At 37.0% G+C, this 17,637-nt stretch overlaps 1 non-coding gene across 1 annotated transcript; it reads right to left on the bottom strand.

The window, feature by feature from the left end:
* Window positions 1-6,300: 6,300 nt before the first annotated feature.
* MIR548AZ (microRNA 548az) lies at window positions 6,301-6,395 on the bottom strand. Its single transcript, NR_106755.1, has one exon. It is a non-coding gene; the product is annotated as a microRNA 548az (primary transcript).
* Between the last annotated feature and the right edge of the window lie 11,242 nt (window positions 6,396-17,637).

Below are 17,637 nucleotides of genomic sequence, written 5' to 3'. Positions count from 1 at the left end.
AAGTCAATTAAATTACTTTCCTTTATAAATTACCCAGTCTCAGGCAGTTCTTTATAGCAGTATAAAAATGGACTAATACACTTCATAATATCTTTTATAATAAGTGGGTAAACAAAAGTAAGTGTTTTTCTGAGTTCTGTGGGCCACTGTAGCAAATTAATCAAACCCTAGGTGGAGTGGTGGATCAGAAGCACAGGTCACTATCTGAGGCTTGTTATTGGCATGTGATATAGGGACCAGGCTTATGGGACTCGAGCCCTTAACCTTTGAGATCTGACAGTATCTACAAGTAGATAGGGTCAGAATTGAATTGAATTACAGGATACCCAGCTGGTGTCCTTTAGAGAACCAACTGGTATGAGAGAAGGCCCATACATCTTGGTGACCAAAGATGAAGTATTCTGTGTTGAGTGGTGAGTTGTGCATGTGAAAGTAGAAAGTAAAGGGTTTTTTCCCACCTTTCTTTTTCAAAACAACTAAGGAAACTCAGAGAGGTTAAGTGACTTGCCAAAGTTACTCAGTAGCTCACACACTTAGTACTTGTCCTGAAATTTCCTAGGGGCCACAGGAGGAGGCAGTACAGCAACGTGGCTGGAATTATAGCTTGCCATTCGCTAACCCTGTGTTCTTGGTAAAGTTACTTAACCTCTCTAATTCTGAGTACAAATTGCAATAACAGTAAACACCTGATATTTTCCTCACTACACCTGCTAATTTCCTCACTACAGTAAACACCTGATAATTTCCTCACTACAAACGGCAATAACAGTAAACACCTGATATAGTTGTCTGTGTTCCCACTCAAATCTCATCTTGAATTGGAATTCCCATGTGTTGAGGGACCTGGTGGGAGGTGATTGGATCATGGGGGTGGTTTCCCCCCATGCTGTTCTCGTGATAGTGACGGAATTCTCACAAGATCTGATGGTTTTAAAAGTGGCCATTTCTCCTGAACTGTCTCTCTTTCTCCTGTTGCCTTGTGAAGAAGGTGCCTGCTTTCCCTTCACCTTCTGCCATGATTGTAAGTTTCCTGAGGCCTCCCCAGCCATGCAGAACTGTGAGTCAATTAAGCCTTTTTGTTTATAAATTACCCAGTCTCAGGTAGTTTACTTGCAGCAGTGTGAGAACGGACCAATACAGCACCTGATTTCCCTGGGTTTTGTGAAGAGAAATGAGATAAGATAGCACTTAATACAGAACCCCGTGTCATTGAATTCTGATTTCACTGGGCTTTGTGAAGAGAAATGAGGTAATATATAGCACTTAATACAGAACCCTGTGTCATTAAATGTCTTCCAGGAGAGACTTTGGTATACTACACAAGGATGACTTAATATGAATGACAAGCTATTGAGAAGACATGTTTTGCCAGACACCCTTGATGTTGAACCATCCTGTTGGCTCTTATGTACAGAGTGGCTCCATGTTAATCACACTATGGATAATATGCATGTGGACCATTTTAGAATCAAATGTCTACAATGGTGACAAAGCACAGAACTAACTTCTTGGACTACTTTCTCTTATTCGTAGAGTCCACTAGGCTATAGTCCAAGTCCATTTAGACTTTGGAAGATGGGAAAGAGTAACCCTGGTGATGTGTGAGGTTATCACATATGTTTAAGTTTTTGACAAGCAATTAACTCACAGTGGATGTCCTGTCACTGCTAAGCAGGACATGGTGGAAGAAGCTTCAAATGATAACTCAGTGATAAATGCGTCTCTCCGCCACGCTTGCCAAGCTCACTCAGACCTAAAAGGAATTGTTCTCAAGTAGCCAAGGGGAAGAGAGTAAAGCATTTAAAGGCTTTTATGTAGCTTTTCTCATTATAACTATAAAATAATATTTATTATATAAAATTTAGTCAGAGATTTTCTTTTCGGTTCTTTTTAAAATTTTTAACTTTTAATTTTTGTGGGTATGTAGTAGGTATATATATTTGTGGGTTATGTGAGATGTTTTGATACAGACATTCAATATGTGATAATCACATCAGGGTAAATGTATCCATCACTCAAGCATTTATCCTTTGTGTTACAGACAATCTAATTATACTCTTTTAGTTATTTAAAAATGTATAATTAAATTACTTCTGACTATGGTCTGACTGGTGTGCCAGCAAATACTAAGTCTTATTCTATTTTCTTGTATCCATTAACCAATCCCATTTTCCACACACCCTGCCCCACCCTTCCCAGCCTCTGGTAACCATCCTTCTACTGTCTATGTACATGAGTTCAATTGTTTTAATTTTTAACTCCCACAAATAAGTGAGGACATGTGAAGTTTGTCTTTCTGTGTCTGGTTTATTTTACTTAACATAATGACCTCAGTTCCATCTGTGTTGTTGCAGGTGACAAGATCTCATTCTTTTTTATGGCTGAATAGTACTCCCTTGTGTATATGTACCACATTTCTTTATCCATTTATCTGTTGATAGACACTTAGGTTGCTCCCAATTCTTGACTATTTTGAATAGCACGGTAATAAACAGGGAAGTGCAGATATCTCTTAGATATACTGATTTTCTTTCTTTTGGATATATAACTAGGAGTGGGATTGCTGGATCATATGGTAACTCTATTTTTAGTTTTTTGAGGAAACGCCAAACTGTTCTCCATAGTGGTTGTACTCATTTACAACCCCATCCAAAGTGTTCAAGGGTTTCCTTTTCTCCACGTCCTTGACATTTGTTATTGCCTGTCTTTTGGATTAAAGCCATTTAACTAGGGTGAGATGATATCTCATTGTAGTTTTTATTTGCATTTTGGAAATAGAGATTTTCTACATATATTAAAAGTAAAAACATTTTCCAGTGATAGATGGTCCTAGTTATAGTCATACCCTTTTCTAGATTTTCTTTGAAATATACAGTTTCATGAATAAAGGAGAATTATTTTGAAAGTGAGTTTCACAGATATTTTTCATGGATGCAGTGTATTTCAGGCTGTGTCTTGAAAAACGTCTTCTCTATATCATACTGTAAAATTCAAGTCAATGTAACGTGTGTGTGTATATATATAAAATTTATTTATTTATTTTTTCTTAAAAAAGTAGGCTCACTTCCCTGAATGCTGTAAAGGGCTAATTTAAACCTCCACAAAAGTGTTTATGCAGACTGCCTTTTCTGAGGATTCATTTTAGCAGGTGGTATTTTACACACTAATCATAATATATGTGCTGAACTGACCCCACCCCCACCCTGCCCTGAAAAGCACAGTTCTTTAAAGGAATGATTACTTCACTTTACTTTGTCCTTAGCTGCTTCTTTTAAGACAGGACATTTCCAGGTATAGAATTCAGGAGAGTAAAAGTATTTTTGATAAAGTTTAAAGGGATTTTCTCAAAGTATGTGATTTTCTCAAAAGTAGGAGTATTTGATTTCTCATATAATTCTCCAATAATTCTTTTTAAAAAATGTTTGTTCAGAGAAAAATTTGGAAAGCTAGAAATTACAATTATCTTTTAGTGGAAAACATTGTTTTCCTATACAGTAAACTTTTATTATTATTTTTTTTTGATGCAGTCTCGCTCTGTTGCCTAGGCTGGAGTGCAGTGTTGCAATCTCAGCTCACTGCAATCTCCTCCTCCCGGGTTCAAGTGATTTTCCAGCCTCAGCCTCCTGAGTAGCTGGGATTACAGGCATGGGCCACCACGTCCAGCTAATTTTTGTAGTTTTTAGCAGAGATGGAGCTTCACCATGTTGGCCAGGCTGATCTCGAACTCCTGACCTCAGGTGATTTACCTGCCTTGGCCTCCCAAAGTGCTGGTATTACAGGCGTGAGCCACCTCGCCCTGCCTCCTGTAGGATAACCTGAAACTGTTCTTCCTTTCAGAACAATAGACGGATTGCATTGGAAGTCACCACCAGTAAGATGCCAGGTGCTTTCAGACTTGGTAATACCAGGCATGTGTTTTATACAAATAAAAGAATTTCTATTTTACTTCCTAGAAAAAAACTGAGTTTAATAAGTCAATGTATAAGTTATACAGGGAAATGATAAACTTCTCTTTGAAATTTTTGGGAAACAGAACAAATAAATTATGTAGTGAAATAATTCTACATTTTACAGACTCTTTTAAATCCTGACTTTAATAATGACTCTCAGATGGCATCTGTGATTCACAGATGAACCTGTAGAGTCTAAAGAGAAGGCTATAGTGATTGGGGAGGTTATTTACTCAGCCCTTGCCAAAGTTCCGGTCCCAGTTTGCTTCCTGAAAAGAGTGTCTGAACCAGTGACTATCAATGCATGAGGACAAAGGGAAAAAAATGTAGGGAGAGAATCTCACTATATTTAGAATCTCTCATACGAGTTTTGTGGGTTATTTTTTAAAGTGTACATGATCACAGATTAAAATCTTTTGATATGAAAGATAAGGAGGTGTATGGAGATAATATGTAATGTAGAAAAAAATACAGTTAGACAGATAACCAACTAGCTGTATTGGATCAAACCTCTCTCTGAGAACAACCAAAATAGCTGAATAAAGGGGAAAGAAAAGAAAACAACAAATCGTTTGAAGATATCTGAGATCTTACTGAGGCTGCCAAGATTTGTGAATTCAAGATTCCAGGGAGAAAGAAAGGGCAGAGAGCATGACATTAGGCATCGCTTTTCTTTCAGGGCATTTGTAAATTTGAAAGCAGCAGAGAGGCTGAAGAGCTGAACAGAGATTTTGGCTTAATCATGGGACTAGAAGAATAGGAATTAGAATTTGAATCTTTCAAAGCTACACCAGAGTTGTGTGGGTAAACTGGAAACAGACAAACTCAAAAAAGACAGAAGCTCAGCTTCAAATTAATTCAATCCTCAAAGGGAAGCAAAACAGAACAAAGATCAAAGCCAAGGATATCCTATCTCTTTCATATCAGTTACCAGAAAGGAAGTGACCTCTCTTACCCAAGGCCAATCCCTCCTAGGGCTCTGCCTTATTTATCCTCTCTCAATCTTGTGTTGTTAGTTATCTTTGCTCTCTCTCCTGTACCTATAACCACACCATAAGGCATTTTTATAATCCCAAATTCCTTATTCTTTTGGCATGCATCGTGTCATGAATTCAGAGGGATTTGTTTCTTGCTACACTAATCTTCACAGAAAACCTTCCTTGAGTAGAATTAACTAGCACATCAGCTAGGCATATGGACTTTTTCTGGGCTTCCTTTTATTTTTCCCCCAGATGATTTTCATTAACACATTTCAGGCTACTGTAGATTGCTTAATATGTTAATTAAACACATTAACTTTCTTGTCAAGAATCTTGCTTTTTGATTACTTACTGTTGTGCAAGCATGCTACATTGCAGACCCTTCTAAAAAAGCCCATGAAACACTGTTGGGTAGGGTCCACGAAATTACACATTTTAGCTGAATGTCTAGCCAAGGGTTAAAGTCAATATTCAGCCTAAGTTGAAGTTGAAGATGAATATCACTTCATGGCATGAACTTCTGGGAAAAAAGAATAAATATTAAAATTTCCACATTTTATTTTAATTTTGTCATTAAAAATGCTCAAAGTCAAAGTGTATAATTTGACATTACTGTACAACACAATGATTTCCCAGCCTTCTCAGTGGAGGTCAATACACTAAACCTGTGTAATCCCAATACAGTAGACTCTCACTTTCAATTTAGATCAAAGGAGGAGCAAGCTATTCTGTTTTGAGCTCTGCCATTGTAAATATTGATGGTGAAATGGACCCTAAGATAAGATTTTCTGGGAAGAATTGCAACATATAAAGCATATATGGATATTAATTTTTACTCCAAGTCAATTTTGAATATATTTGAAAGTGAATGTTTAGGTAGTAATACTACACTTTGAATGATATGCAATCCTTCTAACTAATATTTTTATGGTGATAATAATTTTGGTTGTCTCATCCTTGATCATCAGCAAGTTTAGAGTTCCGGAGATGATAAGTAAGTCTTTCACTATTCTTCCAAAGAGCAAGCTTGAATCCCAAAACAAATTTTGTAAAATTTCCACGTCAAATCAAATTCTGGTACATTTGTGTTGTGGGTAATTTCTTATTGCATAGTATCCATACTCTCAACACCTTCAATATCATTTACTTTGTTGATCAGCATATGCAGTACCAAAGGAACTTAAAGTTGCCAAAGCACACAGGCCGAGTCTGTCTTCCATATTCTTATTATTGGTTAGTTGTTTTATATGAATGATTATAAGATGGCAGTTTTGATAGACCAGTCCCATGCTACACCACTGAAAGTGCTCTTGCCAGAGTCACCAATAATTTCTTTAACTGATCCTCAACTGACTTGATCTCTGTGCAGCAAATTTATTAGGTTGGTGCAAAAGTGATTGCAGTTTTTGCCATTAAAAGTAACAGCAAAAACCACAATCACTTTTGCACCAACCTAATACAATCTTGAATATTCCCTACTTTGTGAAATATTTTTCCCTATTATTATTACATTTTTTAAACTTTCTCTAATTACTCTGCTTTTTCCCAGTTTGTTTTGAATTTCCCTGCTTTCTGCTAATCTCTTGTATATGAATTTTCTTCCAGATTCTAGCCTAGATAGAATTTTTATTTTTTTGCTTCACGTAGCCTCTCTTTGAGGATTATATTTTTCATACTCACAAATTCAATTATATAATTTCAATCATGATTCTCAAATCTATATCTTCAGCCAAGATATTTCTCCAGAGCTTCAGATCTAATTTGTTAGTCACCTAGTAGATATCACCACATAAAATCCTATAAATATCCCCCTTTAGTGTCCTTTTTATCAGTGAAATTACCACCATCTACCTAATTATAAAAGCCAAATACCCAATAATTTTCCATGACTTGCCCTTTTCTCATTTACTTTTTATATGTAATCAGTTATCAAGCCTTGTGTTTCTATTTGATAAAATGGCTCTCCTTTTATTTTTTGCTTACCTTCATCTTTTGTTATTATCATAGTTCAGGCAATCATCTTTTGTCTTTAGTCTCAAAACACCTTCCTTTCTGGTCTTCCGTATTTTGAATTCATTACTTCCAAAAATGTTTCTATTGGAGCCAGAGGGATGGTTCCAAAAATCCAGTCAGATCATAGCATTATCCTGATTAAATATCATCCCCCATTACATTTAGAATAATACTTTGGGGGTTATTTATAAACTGCCTTCATTTAGCCACTCAATCCCATCTTTTTTCCTTCTCTCTTGTTTTCTCTGCTCCAAACATTCTGAAATTTTCTTTCTTTCTCTGAATAAATCATGATTATTCTTACCTCTAGGCCTTTGCACAAATAAAAGTTTTGATGAAGAAGTTTCAAGTTAATGGTTTGTGAATGTAAGACAATTCTATTTTTTTTTTCAATAACTGTTGCCAGGTTTGCTTTGTTGAATTCCTTCCCTGCTGGGCAACAAGAAACAGTGATATCTCAGTTTGACAAATAACTTTTTATTTACTTCTGATTAAAAATAGTCTTAATTTGGGGTAGTAAAACTTTCCTTTTTTAAAAGCTTGTGCAGGGCTTCTGTATAGTATACGTATTGAACAGGGTTTATGTGTCGATATGGATAGGGTTGGATGTGTTGTTGGCTTTCTCCCTCTCTTTATCTTTTTCCCAGTGCCTGTTGTATTGATGATGATGTAAAGGGGTGTGTGCATGTTGTGGGTGGGGGGGTGTGAATGTGTGTACGTGTGTGCATGTGTGGATGTCTATGTAGTATGAAGGGGGAGATGGTAGAGGAGTGGGATGTCTTTGCTTATGCTGTATTAGTGATAGTGAGGTGTTATGGTTGAATCACCTAATACACACTGTTTCCTTATGTCTGGTGTTGTTACTTGGTCTACACTGAGAGAAGTCAGATGCCAGGTTTAGAGTTATAATAAGATTGATCTGATTTTTGGAAATATCCTTCTGGCTAAGTTGAAACCCATTAGGAGTAATCAATTAGAAATATAGGCAGTCTTCTAAGGCTGACAAAAACAATAAATTGGGGAAGGACTCCGTATTCAATAAATGGTGCTAGGATAACTGTCTAATCATATGCAGAAGAATGAAACTGGACCCTTTCATCATATACACAAATCAGCTACAAATGGGTTAAAGATTTTAATGTAAGACCTCAAACTATAAAAATCCCAGAAGAAAACCTAGGGAATACCCTCTTGACATCAGCCTTGGCAAAGAATTTATGGCCAAGTCCCCAAAAGCAATTGCAGCAAAAACAAAAATTGTTAAGTGGGACCTAATTAAACTGAAGAGCTCTCCACAGAAAAAGAAACCATCAACTGAGTAAACAGACAACATATAGAATGGGAGATAATATTCCCAAGCCATGCATCTGACAAAGGTCTAATATCCAGTCTATAAGGAATTTAAACAAATCAACAAGCAAAAACCAAATAACCCTATTTAAAAATAGACAAAGAACGTGAACAGACACTTCTCAATAGAAGACAAGTGGCCAACAAACATGAAAAAATGCTCACCATCACTAATCATGAGAGAAATACAAAGCAAAACCATGAGATACCATCTCACACCAGTCAGAACAGCTATCATTAAAAAGTCAAAAAACAGCATGTGCTGATGAGGCTGTGGAGAAAAGGTTACACTTAGACACAGTTAGTGGGAATGTAAGTTAGTTTAGCCACTGTGGAAAGCAGTTTGGTGATTTCTCGAAGAACTTAGAACTACTATTTGACCCAGTAATCCTATTACTGGGTATATACTCTTAAGGAATACAGGTCATTCTACCAAAAAGAGACATGCACTCATGTGTTCACCATACTATTCACAATAGCAAAGACATGGAATCAACCTAGGTGCCCATGAGTGGTGGGCTGGATAAAGAAAATATATGTATATCACATGTGATATATATATATATCACATATATATCACATTTGATATATATATATATATCACATATATATATGATATATATATCTCATGGAATACTACACAGCAATAAAAAAATGAAATCATGCCTTTGCAGCAACATGGTTGGAGCTGGAGGCCATAATCTTAAGCGAATTAATCAGGAACAGAAAACCAATACCACATATTCTCACTTATAAGTGGAAGCTAAACATTGAGCACAGATGGATGTAAACATGGGAATAATAGACACTGTGGATTACTAGAGAAGGATGGGGGGTTGTGGGCTAAAAAACTATTGGCTACTATGCTATCTACTGGGTAGTTATATAGCCTAAGGAATGTTCATCACCATACTGCTTACAATAGCAAAGACATGGAATCAGCTTAGGTGCTCATCAGTGGTGGACTGGATGGCATAGTAGCCACCAGGTAGTTTGCATAGTAGCCAATAGGTAGTTTTAAAATCCACAATTCACAATACCTGTGTAAAATACATGTATTTTAGATACATGTACCCTTGTATCTAAAAGCTGAAATTAAAATAATAATTTAAAAGAGAAATATAGGCAATCTTCAAGTATCAGCTGATACTACCCTTCTACATTATTCTAAACCTTGGGATCACTTAAGGAGTAGAACCACTTCTCCCACATCACTGTTGAATGCTAGTATCCAAGCATTTTCTGATAAGGTAGTGGCGTAGTTTGTTCCCTTTTCTGTGATCTGACTTCAGCACCCAGGGAATCCAGCGATATATGCTATGCGTGACCTAGCTTTGGGGGAAGTATACTTTTCTTTTCCTTGATTGGTCTTAATATGTAGCTTGAGGTTTCCACTTCTTTCCCTGGCACTCCTCCACATAACTCAGCCCATAAAATGAAGAAAAAATACCTAGTGACTTCAAAAACCTCCAACAAGAAAATGTGATGGTGGTAGTTCCTTTCTCTGATGCTCTACTTCCCAATGTTGATGAATATTTATTTAGAGGAAACATGTTAAGTGGATGCTATAGGAGCTCAATAAACTCTTAAAAATAACCTAACTTTGTCTCTATTTTTATCCATCTTAATATACACTGTATCTTTTCTCACTTAATGTTCACTCTGGATACACTTTTCTGTTGCTTTTTTATTTAAAAAGCAAAAGAAATAAATATCCAATTTCCTAACATTCCTTGAACTTAGGGTGACCATGTGATAGAGTGCTGATCAATGACATGGAGGACAAAGCCCATGAGAAATATTTTTATCCTTAATTTCAAAACAAAAAGCAAATACTTTGTAGAAGAAAGCCCCATTCCCACTCACCAGTCCCTTTTCTTTTTGCCTAAAATGAAAACCTCATGCTCAGAGGTGAAGGTAGAGTTACAACACACCTGAGGAAAAGTCCACAGGACTCGCATTGTTAACCAAAAATCCAAACTCAGGAAAATATTTCAAAGAGGTTTTTTGAGTCAATATGAATGACCTTGGCTTGGGAAAACAGTCTCAAGGAGTTCTGAGAAAGTGTGCCCAAGGTGGTCAGATAACAGTTTGGTTTTATACATTTTAGGGAGCCTGGAGTTATAGGCAAAAACATAAATCAATACATGGAAGGCGTATATTGGTTTGGCCAAAAAATACAGGTATCTTTAAGCAAGAGCTTATAAGTCATAGGTGGATCTATAGATTTTTTAACCTGTAATTGGTGAAAGGAACAAAACTTTGTCTAAAAACTTGGAGTTAGCAAAAAGGAATGTTCCAATAAGGATGATATGTCAGAGTTAGCTACAGTATGACCTGTTGACAAGACTGATGGTCAGCAGGTGTATGACTTGATTCTTATATGGCCTTAGGTCTTGTTTGAAATTTGGTATATATTTTTTGCCACAAAGAGTATATTTTGTTTGTTTTATGATCTCTATTTTAACATTAATACTTGTCAGTGGTTGTGCCTAAACTCCAAAGGAAAGTGATTATAATGAGGTGTATCCAATCTCCCTCTTGTCATGGGTAGGAAGTCAGCTTTTAAGGTTTCTCTGGGGTACCCTTGGCCCAAAGGGGGTCCGTCCAGTTAGTGGGGGACTTAGGATTTTAGTTTTGGTTTATACATGGATGCTGGCCTCTATCAGCCATTATTAACCTCTGGACTCCCTGTTAGGTGGAAAAAAAACCCTCAAATTCCATTGTTTAAGCTGTTGCAGTGAGTTTTCTGTTATTTGTAGTTGAATGCAAGTCTTTATAGGGATACAAGGTATTGGGAGGGTTGTGGTGAGAGTTCTGTTGGAATGTTCCCTGATATGGTTTGGCTGTGTCCCCACCCAAATCTCATCTTGAATTCCCACCTGTTGTGGGAGGGACCTGGTGGGAGGTAATTGAATCATGGCGGCAGGTCTTTCCCATGCTGTTCTTGTGATAGTGAATAAGTCTCGTGAGATCTGATGGATTTATAAAGGGGAGTTTCCCTGCAGAAACTCTCTTCTCTTGTCTGCTGTCATGTGAGATGTGCCTTTCACCTTCCACCATAATCGTGAGGCCTCCCCAGCCACATGGAACTGTAAATTTACTAAACCTCTTTCTTTTGTAAATTGCCCAGTCTCAGGTATGTCTTTATCAGCAGTGTGAAAATGGACTAATACGGTAAATTGGTACCAGTAAAGTGGTGCACTGCTGAAAAGATAACCCAAAATGTGGAAGTGACTTTGGAACTGTGTAACAGGCAGAGGTTGGAACAGTTTGGAGGGCTCAGAAGAAGACAGGAAATGTGGGAAAGTTTGGAACTTCCTAGACACTTGTTGAATGGCTTTGACCAAAATGCTGATAATGACATGGACAACGGAATCCAGACTGAGGTAGTCTCAGATGGAGATGAGGAACTTGTTGGGAAATAGAGCAAAGGTGACTCTTGTTATGTTTTAACAAAGCGACTGACAGCATTTTGCTCTTGCCCTAGAGATTTGTGGAACTTTGAACATGAGAGAGATGATTTAGGGTATCCGGCAGAAGAAATTTCTAAGTAGTATTCAAGAGGTGACTTGGGTGCTGTTAAAAGCATTCAGTTTTAAAAGGGAAACAGCATAAAAGTTTGTGAGGCCTCCGCAGCCACAGGGAACTGGAAGTCCATTAAACCTCTTTCTTTTGTAAATTGCCCAGTCTCAGGTATGTCTTTATTAACAGGGTGAAAATGGACTAATACATCCCCTATTAGTAAACTCTGTGGTGGGAGGGTTGGAACCACTGGCATTCTTCTGAACTAAAAGGGTGGGGGGTATACGGTTCCTTTTGTCACAGCTGTGAGTTATCTCCGTGGCCATTTGTGTTCTCATAAGAAATAGAAAAACAGCAGTCATCATCATTTGATATCCTCATATTACATATTACATCCTCATAGTGCTGTTCTCTGGGTCAGGACACTATTCAATCCCTGTAACCCCTTTACTAACTTGCTGACATTAATTTTCTTAGTTTAGACATCATGTTCTTGAGAAAATATTAGATCATCCTCTATATTAGTTTCCTAGGGCTGCTGCAACAAATTGCAATAAATGTGGTAGCTTAAAACAATGGAAATGTTGTTACCTCACAGTCTAGAGGGCAGAAGTTTGAAATGAAGGTGTTAAAAGCACCACGTTCCCTTTAAAGGCTCTAGGAGAGAATGCTTCCTCGTCTTTTTTTTTTTTCTTTTTTTTTTTTTTCCTTCAGGTAGCTCCTGGCATTTCTTGGCTTGTGGCAGCCTAACTCCAAAATTCTGCCTTCATTTTCACCTGGACTTCTTCCTTGTCTTTATGCCATGTCTTCTTTTATAAGGATGCTAGTCATTGGATTTAGGGCCCACTCTAAATCCAGGATGATCTTATCTCGAGATCCTTAATAAAGACACATTCACAGGTACCAGGGGTTAGGACTTGGATATATCTTTTTGAAGAACACAGCTCATTCCACTGAACCCTCCATGTCTAGATTAAGTGTTTTTACATGTCTCCCATGAACTGCTTATATCTCCAGAGGACCAATTATTATAACATATTTTAACTGCCTTTGTATTTATCTCTATATCTTTGTTCATTGAAGGCAGGGATTGGGTCTTTACATCCCTCAATGTCTAGCATGGTGCCTTGACCATAGTAGAAAATCAATAAATATCATTAAATGAATGAACTAAAACCAATAAATATTACCACTAGTGGGACACATTCTGGGTTAATATAAGGGTATAGGAAGTAACATTTTGTTACTTTAAAGCTTGTTAGTTTAGCTGGTTACTTTAGGAGCCAAAGACAGAGTTAAACTAGTGAGAAAATTATTCTTTTGTGTACAAATAATTCTATAATACATATTATGCAAATATAGGTTTCCAAATTAGTTTGGGTGGAAGAAGCTGGATATAGAGAGAATTGTTCTCCATAATAAAGTAAGAAAGAATCGTCTGAATTCAGCTCTGGACATTTTAGGTTGGAAGGAAGAGAATGGGAGACAAGTGTCTGAGACGGTGGGTGAGATAGTGGTAGACCACAGACTAAGGAGAAGAAAGGCCATGAGAAATTAAATCCTTGTACAGCATACAACTAAGTGTCTTGGTAAATGTCATATCTAGTTGCTTTCCTTCTGTGACCCTGCCAACTTGCAGTAAAAAGTTTCATAAGCAGCTTTTAGTAGTTGGTGTTTTAGAAAATGAAATGTGAGCAAGGCTATCCACACTTGGGTCACAACAGTGTGTCAAGGTAGATAGGAGCCTCTGTAATAAGATTGAAAAGATTAGATGGTGCACTTAATGTGAGTAGGAATCCAGAATGAGACTTGTCCAGGAGATTACTAGATCCACAAAGTACTCCCTAGAATATTAGAGGAAAACTGTAATTTTCTAAGCACAAAAGATGAAGGCTTGAGCCATTTTGCTTTTGGATTAGTGAAAATTAATATCTAGAAAGTTATATATTAAAGACACATGAATAGCTTAAGTAACAGCTATTTTAACAGCCTGAAGCACCCTTAGGTGAAAATGCAATGAGTATTTTGGCACTATAGGTATATAAACATGATCCAGAAGACAGTGTGGTGGGGACATTGCATAGTAGGTTCCTGCTTTTGACTTTTGAGTATCCCCTATAATATCTATGATAGTCTATGGTGCAATGATTCTAAGGTTTAATGTGCCACAATGTAATTTTGGGGTGAAGGGAGTAGAATTGTTTATATAGATCAACTCCATAAATAAATCATTGGTGGTGAATGGTTTCAAAAAAATAAGAAAGCGTGTTTTCCCACCTGTTTGAGCAAGTTTTTTTTTATTTTTTTATTTTTATTTATTATTATACTTTATGTTTTAGGGTACATGTGCACAATGTGCAGGTTAGTTACATATGTATACATGTGCCATGCTGGTGCGCTGCACCCACTAACTCGTCATCTAGCATTAGGTACATCTCCCAGTGCTATCCCTCCCCCCTCCCCCCACCTCACAACAGTCCCCAGAGTGTGATGTTCCCCTTCCTGTGTGCATGTGTTCTCATTGTTCAATTCCCACCTATGAGTGACAATATGTGGTGTTTGGTTTTTTGTTCTTGTGATAGTTTACTGAGAATGATGATTTCCAGTTTCATCCATGTCCCTACAAAGGACATGAACTCATCCTTTTTTATGGCTGCATAGTATTCCATGGTGTATATATGCCACATTTTCTTAATCCAGTCTATCATTGTTGGACATTTGGGTTGGTTCCAAGTCTTTGCTATTGTGAATAATGCCACAATAAACATACATGTTCATGTGTCTTTATAGCAGCATGATTTATAGTCCTTTGGGTATATACCCAGTAATGGGATGGCTGGGTCAAATGGTATTTCTAGTTCTAGATCCCTGAGGAATCGCCACACTGACTTCCACAATGGTTGAACTAGTTTACATTCCCACCAACAGTGTAAAAGTGTTCCTATTTCTCCACGTCCTCTCCAGCACCTGTTGTTTCCTGACTTTTTAATGATTGCCATTCTAACTGGTGTGAGATGGTATCTCATTGTGGTTTTGATTTGCATTTCTCTGATGGTCAGTGATGGTGAGCATTTTTTCATGTGTTTTTTGGCTGCATAAATGTCTTCTTTTGAGAAGTGTCTGTTCATGTCCTTTGCCCACTTTTTGATGGGGTTGTTTGTTTTTTTTCTTGTAAATTTGTTTGAGTTCATTGTAGATTCTGGATATTAGCCCTTTGTCAGATGAGTAGGTTGTGAAAATTTTCTCCCATTTTGTAGGTTGCCTGTTCACTCTGATGGTAGTTTCTTTTGCTGTGCAGAAACTCTTTAGTTTAATTAGATCCCATTTGTCAATTTTGGCTTTTGTTACCATTGCTTTTGGTGTTTTAGACATGAAGTCCTTGCCCATGCCTATGTCCTGAATGGTAATGCCTACGTTTTCTTCTAGGGTTTTTATGGTTTTAGGTCTAACATTTAAGTCTTTAATCCATCTTGAATTGATTTTTGTATAAGGTGTAAGGAAGGGCTCCAGTTTCAGCTTTCTACATATGGCTAGCCAGTTTTCCCAGCACCATTTATTAAATAGGGAATCCTTTCCCCATTGCTTGTTTTTCTCAGGTTTGTCAAAGATCAGATAGTTGTAGATACGCGGCGTTATTTCTGAGGGCTCTGTTCTGTTCCATTGATCTATATCTCTGTTTTGGTACCAGTACCATGCTGTTTTGGTTACTGTAGCCTTGTAGTATAGTTTGAAGTCAGGTAGTGTGATGCCTCCAGCTTTGTTCTTTTGGCTCAGGATTGACTTGGTGATGTGGGCTCTTTTTTGGTTCCATATGAACTTTAAAGTAGTTTTTTCCAGTTCTGTGAAGAAAGTCATTGGTAGCTTGATGGGGATGACACTGAATCTGTAAATTACATGTTGTCCTAGGTTATGCTCTGATCATGGCATGTCCACTGTTATTGCATTTCTGGTTTTCTCTCTGTGAGTCTAAGTTCTATATACATGGATCTTGGGTAGCTATTCCTCCCCACCCTAGCACCATTCTCTATGAGCTTGCTATAAAAAAAGATTCACTGTGTTCTACAAATTCTGGCTGGCATTCAGAGAAGATTTCAAATAAAGCTCCAGATGGAGACACCTACATGAATCTAGAGGCTGAATAACTAAAGAAAGCAAGTAAATGTCACCACTACCTTATATGTTAAAAGAATAGAACATGTAAACATGCCAACAAAAGTTCAGTCTCTACACTTTGATGATTCTTTCCCCATCAGAGCCCCTTTGATTATTGCTAAGAGTTTGCATTGCAGACATTTATTAGAGAATCTTAGCAATATAAGCAAGATGGACTATTTCCTGCCAGATTTAGGGCCTGATATTTGCTTTTATTTGGACCTAAATAAAATTAGATTTTTCTTGTTACAGTTTGGTAATGGTTGACTGAAAGCAGAACTGAAATATCTCCATGAGGTCAGGACATTGATAATTGCTGTATTCTATTGCCTAGAAAATTATCAGAAACATAGTAAGAACTTATAAAGTGTATTTGGAATTAAAAAATAGTTCTTTATTATGTAAGTAAGGAACTTTTTTAATGAGTGAACTGAAAACTATGATCATGCTAAGAAGGAAACACAGAGAGTAAAGTGAGAGCATAATTTGTCAAGGCCACATAATTTAAAGTGAATTGAAAGAGTGATGGATGAAGAAGACTTGAACCAAGTGCAAAGGCAGAGAAAAAGCATTATGGGCAGGAGCACATGCTGGAAACTCCAAGGAAAGGAAAGACTTCAGGTGTTCTAGAAATGTAAAAGCAGGCTAGCATGGCCAGAGCAGAGTGACTGAGAAGAATTATGCAAGTTGAGAGGAACAGACAGGCATCCAATAATTTGTGGTCTTGAAGGCTGGGATAAGGAACTTTGAATTATTTTAAGATAAATAGAATATCAATGAAGGGTTTTACAGTGGATCTTAGCCAAAAGGCCAAGAAGTGATCACTGAAGGGTTTTAAAAGGGCTGTGCCATGATCTGAATTAGGTTTTTGAATATTTATTCTGGCTGCTACATGAAGAAAATATTAGAGACAGTCATGATCAGGGAGGTCGTGGGAGGCCAGGCAAGAGAGGTGATTATCACTTAGGCTAGGGTGATGGCAACAGAAATGAAGAAAAGAGGGGTGGCATCGTGATGAGTTTTGAGAGTAAAATAGAACCAATTTGTTTATCAATTGGAAACAGAGAAGGACAAGGTGAAGGAAAGACAACAATGAAGAATGACTTCTATTTCTTGAACAATTAGTGTTGACATCTTTCTAAAATTTATTTTGACAAAATTATATTTGTGGTATAAAACACAATGTCTAGAAATATATATACATCATGGAATGGCTAGAATAAGCTAATTAACGTATTACCTCATTTATCATTTTTGATGTGAGAACACTTAAAATAGACTCTTTTAGCAATATTGAAGTACACGATTCATTGTTATTAAGTATAGTCACCATGTTCTAAAATAGATTCCTTGAACTTGTTCCTCTTGTCAAACTGAAATTTTGTATCTTTTGACCAACATTTCACAAAGCCCTTCCCCTCTCTAGGCACCCCCCTCAAACCCCTAGTAACTACCGTTCTCCTCTCTGCTTCTATTAGTTCAGTTATTTCTTAGATAATACATATAAGTGAGGTCATAAAGCATTTATCTTTCTGCGCCTGGTTTATTTTAGTTAACATAATGTCCTCCGGTTCATCCATTTTCACAAATGACAGGATTCTCTTTTATTTTTTATGGTGAAATGGTATTCCATTATGTGTATGTACCACATTTTCTTTATCCATTCG

Source organism: Homo sapiens, chromosome 8 (assembly GCF_000001405.40).
Source record: "Homo sapiens chromosome 8, GRCh38.p14 Primary Assembly".
In the NCBI taxonomy this organism is placed as follows: domain Eukaryota; kingdom Metazoa; phylum Chordata; class Mammalia; order Primates; family Hominidae; genus Homo; species Homo sapiens.
This window is presented reverse-complemented; position numbering and strand designations above follow the sequence as displayed.